The sequence below is a fragment of the Homo sapiens genome, chromosome 8, assembly GCF_000001405.40.
Source record: "Homo sapiens chromosome 8, GRCh38.p14 Primary Assembly".
Classification (NCBI taxonomy): domain Eukaryota; kingdom Metazoa; phylum Chordata; class Mammalia; order Primates; family Hominidae; genus Homo; species Homo sapiens.
This window is the reverse complement of record NC_000008.11, coordinates 15,155,806-15,167,805: the sequence shown is the minus strand read 5'-3', so window position 1 is coordinate 15,167,805 and position 12,000 is coordinate 15,155,806. Positions and strand designations below refer to the sequence as shown.

Genomic DNA, 12,000 nt, shown 5'->3' with positions numbered 1-12,000 from the left:
CAGGAACAAGCAGGGTTAGCCTAAAATATAGGCAAAAACTTAAGACAACTAGTGAGTTTAGAATTTAATGACAAATATATAAGTTTGAAATATAATTTGCCTCTCTCTAGACCGTATTTTTTTTTAAACATCCCAAATTATAAAAAGGACTGAGTGGTTTGCAAAATAGCCTTTAGTCTTACACTTGGTCTGTTTATTTGCATAAAGCGCAGAAAGAATAATTATTTCTGCAGAGGCCTTTTGGTTTGGCTTTGATGGAAGTCTGTTCCACAAGGAATCTCAGCTAAGACCTTTTAAAGCTGAGCACAACCATGGGTTTGCATCCTCAAACACCTGAGTTGGGTAATTCTCTCCTCTTAAGTCCCAAGATGAACTTGGAGCTCCTAGACCTGTTAGAAAGTGACAGTCTTTACTGACCACAGGTCAAGAACCCTGTACAGGGACTACGTAGATGAGGACGTGAGGCCAGTTTCCTCCATGAGGCTTTTCTCGGCTCTGCAAGTCTAGATTGACACCTTAAAGGGAAGCATACCTATCCAGTCAAAGCCTTGGTAAAATAATCACTTTCTCCAATTGTGTTCTGTTGCAAAAGAAAAATGGATTCTTATTGCACTGATGCAAATAGCCTTATTGCCACGAGGATACTCACAGATAGTTTCCAAATTTTAGAGGAACCAGGCAGAGAGAAACAAACATACTCCAAATTTTGATCACGGGGGTATACCTTACTCAATTATTAAAGGTCATAAATAGTTAAAAAATAAGTTTCCTTGACTCTGAAAAAAAAACAAAACAAGAATCAGCAATTTTCTAAACAAAAGTCAAAAAGATTCGCTTCAGCTTCCTGAGTTCAGTCCATTTAGTTAACTCGAGTTTTGCTTGATATTCATGAACATTTCAGCTCTTTGTGAATCCTGTACATTTTCCTTTATTCCAATGTTACAATCTCTAAAGTTATCAGAAGGCTGTATTTGAGAGCACCTGTTAATGTTCTATAACTCATTATAAACCACCCTTGAAGAGGATTAAAACAAGACAACAATTGTCTGTGAATAGCAAAATGTGCAGGGTAGTTGCAGTTAGAAACACAATTGACAAATAAGTTTGGTTATCTCTGTTGTTTACAATATCTTAACATAAACCTTAATTATGATTGATAGCATATACTCAGACATTAGAATTTTTAGAAATCCCATATAAGTTTGCAATATATATTAGCATTATTCACCAAGATAAAACCTAAAGAAGGTTGTGCATCGGCCAGGCGTGGTGGCTCACACCTGTAATCCCAGCACTTTGGGAGGCCAAGGCGGGCGGATCATGAGGTCAGGAGATGGAGACCATCCTGGCTAACACGGTGAAACCCCATCTCTACTAAAAAATAGAAAAAACTAGCTGGGCATGGTGGTGGGCGCCTGTAGTCCCAGCTACCCAGGAGGCTGAGGCAGGAGAATGGTGTGAACCCGGGAGGCAGAGCTTGCAGTGAGCTGAGATCTTGCCACTGCACTCCAGCCTGGGCGACAGAGCGAGACTCCGTCTCAAAAAAAGAAAAAAAAAAAAAAGAAAAAAAAAAGGATTGAGCATCATTTTGGCAATCCCATGTACCTGAACATGTCAAATAATCCTGTTTACCTTTCTTTTCTGGAAATTCCACGGGCCCTTTGAAGAATTCAAAAAGCCAGGTGCCAGGGAAGACAATTTTGAAACTGGAGTTTGATTTTGGGAAGGCTATTAAATGTTCGAGGTTTAAAACACTCGATATTATGAAATAGAATCCAGATTTCCATAAATTATTTATTTTGCCAAAATGATAACTCAGAAATGTTGAAGAAGCAAAATCCTTTTACAACCCTTTAAAAATTTTGCCAAAAAGAAGATTCACACCTTGGGAAAACCTTGTTATGATTTTATTTCAGTGCTCAATTTACAGAAAAACCATATGACACCCTTTTTGAATATAGTCGATATGTTCACACGGAGAAGCTCTTCTGCAAGATTAATTTCCACAATTCCTCCACCACTTCTTTGCAACTTCAGCTTTTTCCTAACTCAAAATACTTTAACCCTAAGCAAAAGGTTACATTTCCATACCTTCTTATAACCTTTGATTAAAAAACACATTTTACTGTTCTCATACACCTTGCGTGTAAATATATTTCTAGTAGTTTCAATTAACTCCTAGCAATTTTGAACTTCAAGGTAAAACTTGGTAAGTTGCTTTAATTGTGTGCTAACTGCAGCCAAGGTATGGCTTCTTAGTTGCGGGGTAGTTAGTTCCATATGTCCCCAGGCCATATCAAATCTAAAGCCAGCATGTCAAATAGTTCTCAAAACCCAAAAAGCAGTTTGTAACCTCAAAACACCTGGCAAACCTTGCTTCTGACCCGCATGTTGCATGTTACCAATAGTCTTTAGGGCTGTTTTTATTTATTAAGGTTAAAGTCACGTGAACTGAAAGGTTCCACAGCTTTTTTCTTCAGGCCAAATTAATTAGAGGTTTTTTTTGGTGGGGGCGGGGAGGACAGAGTCTCGCTCTGTCCCAGGCTGGAGTGCAGCAGTGGCGTGATCTCGGCTCACTGCAACCTCTGCCTCCCGGGTTCATGCATTTCTGCCTCAGCCTCCTGAGTAGCTGGGATTACAGGCATGTACCACCACGCCTGGCTAATTTTTGTATTTTTATTAGAGACAGGGTTTCACCATGTTGGTCAGGCTGGTCTTGAACTCCTGACCTCGTGATCTGCCCACCTGGGCCTCCCAAAGTGCTGGGATTACAGGCATGAGCCACTGCGCCTGGCCTAATTAGAGCTCTTTTGACACACATCACACAGTACACACACAGGCAGAAGAAAACCCAGTTGCTGGGTGGGGCCCTTTAAGAGACAGGGCTGGGAAAACATGCAGGTATCAAACCAGAAAGAAGCTTATTCCGTAAGTCAGGACTGCTAAGCAAAGCGTTGCCAAGGGGTTACAGCCATACCCGCAAGATGTAAAACAAGATGGAGGCTTGCAGCACTAACCATACAGACATGCAAAGCACACCAGATTGGCCACAGCCCAAGACTAGCCTCACAAACCCTTTTTCACAATTAAAGCTTTAAAGAAATTATCAACAGTGATAGTTGGGGAGCCTGGCCTAGTAAAATGTCTTCTTAAAAAAAAAAAAAAACTTGCTTAAAACTTAACTGCTGATGGGGTGGAGAAGAGGAAAAAAAAAAAAAGTTTAAAAATGCCTGGGGAAGAACCTCTTATTCTTAGGCAAGTGGTTCTTCCACCACGGAGATTAATTCAATTACTGTCCTAGGGAGTAAAACCCCTGGGCTGGGGAGGGCTCCAGCAGCAGCACGTGGCGGGGACTGCCAGTGGCTCCCAAACCCGTGGACCATGCGTCCCAGTCCTGTCATGGAGTGCGGAGTGGCTGGGAGCTGTTCTGTCATGGAGTGGGGAGCGGCTGGGAGCTGCTGCTCACCGGTGGGTCCTGTAAAAGGAAGAAAAAGGCATGGTATCCCCCACCCTCAGGATTCTGAGGTTGAAAAGGCGTAGAAGCAACAGTGAGAGGTTTTGAGTCCCCATTTCACTCACCACTTCTCAAGCCCCCACATTGGGCACCAAAAATGTTACAGGACTTTTCCTTAGTTCAGCTGAAGACACGGTTCTTTGTCCCATGGCCATGAAAATTCAGGCTTGCTGACAATTTGAATGGTGAGTGAGATAGGGTTTTATTAGGTGAAAAGATAGAAAAGGGGGAAACAGGAACCCTCGCTAGGTCAGAGTCCCTGCTAGAGCGCTTCCCGGCGGCCATTGGAATGCCAGGTTCCACGCAGGAAGCGGAGAGGCCAGCCTCCTTCCCCTGTAAACGTCCTGAACTTTCTGAGGCCCCACCTCAGTGGGCAGGCTGGCTGGAGTTTCTCTGAGGACACCCTCCCACCTGGCTGTCTCAATAGCAGCCCAAAAGACACCATGGTATGTAAAGTTGAATTTTTCTTTTGGACAGTGAAACTTAGTATACTATTTATCTAAACCTTTGCTTGTCATATTTTACTTATTAAAGGGCAAATTGCTGTAAATAATAAAGAAATATTTAAGAGTTATAAGAATCCTCCAGATCAATAGTACAAAAGTATGCAGTAAAAAGTAATTGTAACCAAATAAGTCGACATTAGTTAAACTTAGCAGTAATTTACTTTAGGGTCTCTAGTTAAGCAATAGCTATCAGACTTTTTCTTTAAGAAATAGGATAAGTAAAATCATATATTTTTATTAGAACTTCAAGATTAAATGAAGAAGAAAAAAGAAACCACACAGTCAATAACAAAACAAAACAGGGAGTGAAGGGAAATGAGTGAAGTCGTTTCCAGTATTCATATCTTCTGGCCTTTCAGTGTATATAAATGCAACTTAGCGTAATGGTAAACAGCATGGCTTCTAATCAAGACAGCCTGAAGGCTGAACCTTGGATCTCCTACTTAGTAGTTATGCCTCAGTTTCCTCAGCTCTGAAATGAAGATAGACTAATTTTTGTGTCTACCTCATAAGACGTTGTGTGGATTCAATGTGGTAATGCTTGTAAAGTGTTTAAAACGGTGGCCGACACATGATAAATGTTATATAAGTATAAGCCAGTAACAAAGAATGGCTGGATATGACTTTGCAAAGATGACCCCAAGCAAGAACTGTTACGTACAGAATCCCATGCAAACACATGTGTATAACAAAGGCGTCCAGTTCTTTGGTGATCTGTCTGCAGTCCTAGTCATAGCATACCTGAGAAATACAACTGAGCACGAAATGATTTCAAAATAATGTTTTGAAGGTTTTAAGACACAAGACATTTTATGCAAATTTACTGCTGCCTACTCCGACCACTTTTACTTCTCCTCTTTCATCTTCATTTTCCCTATCTCAGTTATTTAGACTGTTTCTGCAGTTTCATGATTTCCTTGCTATTGTAGGATAAATGTTTAGGAAATGTTTATAAACTTTCACTTTTAGGAACTCTCTATAAAGTATTAGAACTCTTTAGAGGTAAGATGCTATAAAAATCTAATAAATTACTAAATGGTTACACAGATCATGAGAGAAAAACATAGACATGGTAGGTTCAGAAGATGATGATAAGGTGTCCTGGATATAATCCACTTGAGAGAGCCAGAATTTTCCTAACTCTTATGAAAAGTGAAACACAGTTTTAGACTGAATTTGTTATTTCAAAGGCCGATGCCATAAGATAAGTGAAAAGCTGGAGAAGGGGCAGTTCTTTTCTTGCATTAACATTATCTGAGTATCAAAACACTTTGGAAACAGAACTGAGTCATGAAGGAGTATCTATCCACGTGACTTGTAGCTAAAGGATATATGGCTCTTTCTGAAAGTAATTTACAAGTAGCTGTAAGAAAGAAAAGTATCAGTTGTCTAAAATTTAAATGCCATTCTCCTGAATAACTCCACATAAAATGTTCCTTTGGGTTAGAGGTGGGACAGGTGCTGGCCACAGAACTTTTGGCCGTTTTTTAAAAAAATTCCTCGTTATTTATTTCTTTATGTGTCTTTAATCTATTGATTAATGCAAAAGCTATGGTATGGGTATGTCTTGAGTTATTTGTCCACTTTCTTAACAGGTCTAACAAAACATTTCCTCTTGTGAATTGATAAAATGAGGCACACAAAATATCATAGATGTCTTCATCCAATACAAACTTTGTTCAAGTGTAAGATTAAAATTCTTTAAGAAACTGATTCTGTTTACAGTAAATCTCTATAGGCATATAGTCAAGGCAGTTTGCCTCTTTTCACGCTGTTACCCAGGCTGGAGTGCCGTGGTGCAATCTTGGGTCACTGCAACCTCCACTTCCTGGGCTCAAGTGATTCTCGTGTCCCAGCCAAGTAGCTGGGACTACAGGTGTGCACCCCCACGCCCAGCTAATTTTTGTAATTTTTATAGATATGGGGTTTCGTCATGTTGCCCAGGCTGGTCTTGAACTCCTGGCCTCAAGTGATCTACATATCTTGGCCTTCCAAAGTGCTAGGATTATAGATGTGAGCCACGGCACCCAGCCTCTTTTTAATTTGTTAATTGCCAACTGTTTGATGTGACTTATTTGTATTTTGTTAAATGAGTAACATGGAAAAACCTTAGTTGAAATTTTTTGGTTTCTACTTTTTACAACATGTTTGCTGAACTTTTTTCTTTCCCCAAACTTGACTTTTTGCTTTAATTCATTCATTCATACAAATTTAATTCATTTCACAGAGACCCATTAAGCACCTACTGGACACCAGGCACTGCCCACTGCTGAGGATACAGAAGTAGGCAAAACACATACAGCCCTGGCCCTCATGAAGCAGACATCCTGATGGTGAAAAATTGAGGATGTCTAAGACAAATAAATAAAGTATATATGGTATAATGAGTGGGGTAAGTGCTGTGGAGAAAAATAAAGCAGAGAAGACAGACAAGGAGCATTTCAGGAAATGAGAAAGCTGAAATTTTAAATATGGTTACCTGGGAAAGACCTTACAGGAGAGTCGACAGTAGGGGAGGTAAACAAGGGAGTCATGGATGATGTAGGGGGAGAGCGTTTAAAGTCCATGATGTAATGTTGGAGTAGGTGGGTATATTCAAGGGACAGAAGAGAGTTCAATGGGGTTGGACCCACAGGAGGAGGGTGAAGAATGGTAGGAGGTGAGAGAGGGAGCAGGGAACCAGATCACCTAAGGATTTGAGAGGCCACTGCAAGATCTTCAGATCTTGCAGAGAAAGAGGCCGTTGAAGGACTGAGCAGGAGAGCATCATGATTTGACTTAAGATGAAAAGGAATGCTTGATCCCAGGAGCCCAGGAGTGAGCTCACACCACTGCACACCAGCCACTGTAGTGGCTGCACACCAGATTACGCCAGTGTACTCTAGGCTGGGTGACAAAGCAAGACTGTCTCAAGGATGCCTCTGCATGCTATGTTGAGAATAGACAGAATGGAGGCATAGACGGTGGCATGTGCCTTTTGGCCTGAGCACCTGGGAGGATGCAGTGGCCCTCAACTGACAAGAGCAGAGCACCAATTGAAGTCAGATTCATGGGGAAGATCGGAAAGTTAGTTTAGACATGTTAAGTCTCATATGCCTACTGAACACTTAAGTGGAGATGTCTGCTTTAATGTATAGTTTTAATGTGAAAATGTTTTCTACAAAGCCTAGAAAAATTGGGAGAGGGCTATAGGTAACCGAAAAAAAATGTTGAATATATAAATCACATGGCTACTTTTCCTTCTTTCAAAATTGACTCTCCTGGGGAATAGGGTTGTGTTGCTGGGTCCATCTACACTAGTGGACTGACTCCTGTTCAAAATTCTCGTCTCACACGTCTGTTCATAGCAGCGTTATTCACAGTAGCCCAAAGGTGGAAGCACCCAAGAGTCTATCAAAAGATAAATCGATAAACACAGCGGAGTAGATATGTAAAATGGAATATTATTCAAATTTACAAAGGATGGTGATTCTGACACAATATGGTCAATTGGATGAATTGCTACAATATGGACCAATCTTGAGGACATTATTCTGAGTGAAATTATCCTGCCACAAAAAGACAAATAATGTGTTATTGCACTTCCCTGAGATGTCTAGAGTAGTCAGATTCACAGAGACAGTTTAAAAGATACAGAGTTTCAGTTTTACAAGACGAAAATCGTTTTGGAGACTGGTTATACAACAATGTGAATGTAACACTACTGAACTGTACACTTAAAAATGGGCCAATATGGTAAAGCTTATGTTCTATGAATTTTACCACAATTAAAAGTGAAAAACAACAAAAAAATCAGGTCTTGATGCTGCTGTTCTGTCTCCTACTCGTCTATAATGAACACCTCTCTTCCTTTTTCCCCCTAAGTGCCTATTGGCACAAAGTTGTAGCACACTTACCATTTGCAACTTAATTTGTGAGTAGAGAAAGGCAGGAATTAGAGGGGTTACCCCAAATTCAGTGTCATATTACTGGTCCCAGAAAATTATCTGCCATTAAGCTGATTCAGACACCATCTGTGTGTGTGTGGCGGGGGTGGGGGGGAGGGTGGGGGGGGCGGGGGCGAGGGAGGGGGGAACAAAAAAAATAAAAAAACCTTCAAACTCTTTTTCCTCTGTTCTCACACCACTCACAAAAACAGTCAACAGGGAAGACTTCTATGATGAAATATATGGGAGAGGTTGCCCACACACCAGGCAAGCAATCAGTTCTGCAGTGGACACAAGCTGCATATCCTCCAATTCAACTCTGGCAGCATCTACCTGGAAGTAGCTTCAGATGCCACAGGTTGAGGGCTCAGTCCCCAAGACTGCTCCCCAGCTTTGGATGCCAGTCACAAGCCCAAGCCTCAGGAACTTCTGATGACTGGTTTCAAGTCAGAGTTCCCATGACCCACTCTTTGGGTTCAATTAATTTTCTGGAGAGACTCACAGAACTCAGGGAACCATGTTTTTTTCAGTTTCTTATAAAGGATACTAGAAAGGATACATGTGAAGAGTCACCTAAGGCAGTAATTGTGGTGGTGAGCTCCCATGCCTGCTCTCCGTGGACCACCCTTCGGGAACCTACATGTGTTCAGCTATCTAGAAGCTATCTAAACCCTTTGCTCTTGGATTTTTATAGAGGCCTCATTACCTAGGCATGACTGATTAAATCATTGGCCATTGATAATCAACTTGACCTTAGGCCCCCTCCCCTCTCAGAAGGCTGGTCTTTCAGATGTTCTGGTCTTTCAGGTGACCAGCTCCCATCCTGAAGCTACGTAGGGATTGCAGCCATCTGTTGATCATTTGCAGACAAAAACCATCACTTTGGAGATTTTAAGGATTTTAGGAGTTGTATATCAGGAAACAGGTTGAAGACCAAATATATATTTGACAATACTGCACTGCCATTACCTGACCACAGAGTGATTATAACCCTCCTTGAGTTTAGACTTCACATAATATTTCTAGGATCTTTCTCCCTGTCTAGATCTTTCTTTGTCACTCTGGGTCTCCTCATCCCTGTGACCCTCATCTTCCATCTCCAAAATTGTCTTTGGGGAAATCCTAAACTCCTTTACCTTTATTTTGTAGACCATGCCCTAGAGGCCTCACTATTTATATTCAAAGAACCTACCCAGATATTTTCCACATGAATTATACATTCTAAATGAATTATAAGTTCCAAATGAATTTCTAAATAAGAAGAATTATGACTCTTCCTTAGTATTCTGAATATGCTTCAGTAGGTTTTAGCATAAAGTAGTAATATTTTTTCTTCTTACTACTCATGAAAAATATTAAATCACACTATGCACCTTTTAGATTAAATATTGAAGAATTCTTTTTAACCCAAGTATATATCAAAAGTTACAGCTATGATTTATATTTATTGCTATATGCACATAAAAAATGCACAAAAATATCAGCCATGTGGAGAACAGCCTTCTTAGGACCTCAGATTCCACAAATAGCTAGCAAAAAAGGAAAAATTTAGGGTAGGGGTTTTGGCCTTTAGAACTGGGAAAAATGGATAACGGAGGATAAACAGAAAGAGAAACCTGGTATGGGGTGATATGGAGGAGGAAAGGGATTCCCTGATGAATGGGGACTATATCTTTTCACCATTTTTTTTTTTGTGGCAAACTAGAAAAATTGTGATAAGAGATGGAGTAGAGAAGAAATAAGAGAGATCTAGAGAAAAGGAGAAATGGTAAGGATTGGAGATGATACCATTTGTGTTTGCCAAAGGAAAGGGGGTGGTGAGAGGCAAGTGCATGGACAAAGAATGGAAATCTAGCAACAGCAAAACAAAAGTGAGGACAGTTCTGCCAGTCACTGGGCAAGAGCGGCCCTGGAATGGACCTGCGGAAGGCCGAGGGCCTGAGAAGGAGGAACAACAAGGCCAGATGGTCTCTACGTTTCTTTGTAGGCCAAATGGGTATTTTGCTCCATTTTTACATTTGTTTTTAGAAAGGGGAATAGATTGAATGCCATATTCCACTAGCATAGTTCAGCTAGTGGAGGTATACAGTAGTGCTAAGTGCTAGGTCCACAATGATCTAGTACTGTAAAGGTTTCATTCAGGGTGCCTAAGAGTGTGTCTGTGTCTGCATGTCCATGAGTGTAAGTGTGTTGTTTTGGAGGAAGAGACAAGACATGTTCACTTGTTCCAGAGCTGTAAGCCTAGTAGAACCAGGACATTAGTCTGGTGTGGTAGCCTCCTGGTCCTGAGTATTACAAGTGATGAAGGCATAAAGCATGAATTGAATCCGTGAATTTGTATGAACTCCAAATGGTTCTTGTTGTCATTGTTGTTGTTCTTTTTATTTTTTTCTTTGTAAAAAATGAAAAAAATTACGGGCTACTTTTTTTTTTTCCCCCTTAAGAGACGGTCTTGCTTTGTCACCCAGCCTAGAGTACAGTGGCGTAATCTGCAGTGTGGCTGGTGTGCAGTGGTGTGAGCTCACTCCTGGGCTCCTGGGGTCAAGTGTTCCTCCTGCCTCAGGCTCCCAAAGTGCTGGGATCACAGGCATGAGCCACCCTGCCTAGCCATGCGCTACTTTTATGAGAAAAATATCATATTGTGAGTAGGGAAAAATATTTATGGGTAAGTATAAAATGTCATCATCTATGTATGTAATATTGGGCCTTAGCAGAGCTGTTCAAGTATTTTTCTGCCTCTGCATCATTTTAGGCATCATTTGGGTACAGGTATGTATGCTCATGTAAATTGGAGGTTCACTGTTCATGTTTTTTTCATGAAAGATTCCCAGAGAAAAGAAACTATTTGAGAATATTTGAGAAGTGCTTGCTTTCTTTTCTCTTTCTTTCTTTTTCTTTTCTTTTTTTTTTTTTTTGAGACAGAGTTTCCCTCTTGTTGCCCAGGCGGAGTGCGATGCTGCATGCTCGGCTTACTGCCACCTCCGTCTCCTGGGTTCAAGCGAATCTCCTGCCTCAGCCTCCTGAGTAGCTGGGATTACAAGGCATCCACCACCACACTCAGCTAATTTTTTGTATTTTAATAGCAACGGGGTTTCACCATGTTGGCCAGGCTGGTCTTGAACTCCTGACCTCAGGTGATCCGTCTGCCTTGGACTCCCAGAATGCTGGGATTACAGGCATGAGCCACCGCGCCTGGCCGAGAAGTGCTTTCTTTACATTGGTATGTATTGCAAAGATAAGGAGCTTTGAGGAAATGTCTTTCAACGAGATAATGGACGTTTTCAGAAGAATGGTTTTGTCATTTCAAGCTGGGAAGGTGAAAGAAAGTTAGTGAAAAACAGCAAATCATGACAGTCAAGAACTCTGCAGCTTTTCAGGTATGTTCTTTCCAAGTACATTCTATCCAAGAGTGATTTCACCATGCTGATAAAATGAGTCTTTCTTGTCACGATTGGCAAGTTCTCTTAGGACAGGTGATAAGCCATTAAATCCCTCAAGGTTTAAGGCAATTATTTCTACCCTAAATGACAATTTATTTCTTATTTCTGCGTAGGAACTTTAGATTGCCTAGTGACAATCTAAAGCCCCTATGCAGAAATAAGGCCTCAGTCTTTCAGGACTCATAGTCTGCGTTTTTGGACATTAGCCATTTTAAAGTAATTAATTGAGTCTCCTTGAAAACTGGAGTGAAACATACAGAAAAAAATGAAAGTTACCTATAAATGTGGCATCTAGAAATAATCACTTTAAATATTTCAGCATTGACCTTCACTTCACTCTTCTATTTTTTTTTTTTTTTTTTGAGAGGGAATCTCACTCTGTCACCCAGGCTGGAGTGCAATGGCACGATCTTGGCTCACTGCAACCTCTGCCTCCCAAGTTCAAGCGATTCTCCTGCTTCGGCCTCTCGAGTAGCTTGGACTACAGGTGTGCGCCACTACACCTGACTGATTTTTTGTATTTTAGTAGAGACAGAGTTTCGCCATGTTGTCCAGGCTGATCTCGAGCTCCTGAGCTCAGGCAGTCCACCTGCCTCAGACTCCCAAAGTGCTAG

The 12,000-nt window shown here is 41.0% G+C and overlaps 1 protein-coding gene across 4 annotated transcripts in view, besides 1 other annotated feature; it reads left to right on the top strand.

Annotated features, from left to right (window-relative positions):
- Window positions 1–12,000, top strand: part of SGCZ (sarcoglycan zeta) — a 1,153,587-nt gene that overhangs the window by 70,626 nt on the left and 1,070,961 nt on the right. The window lies entirely within an intron of this gene.
- Window positions 3,799–3,999: a silencer, noted in NCBI's record as "peak6913 fragment used in MPRA reporter construct". NCBI's record gives its function as "represses an SCP1 promoter by STARR-seq MPRAs in K562 erythroleukemia cells {active_cell/tissue: K562}" and the evidence as "EXISTENCE:reporter gene assay evidence [ECO:0000049][PMID:32103011]".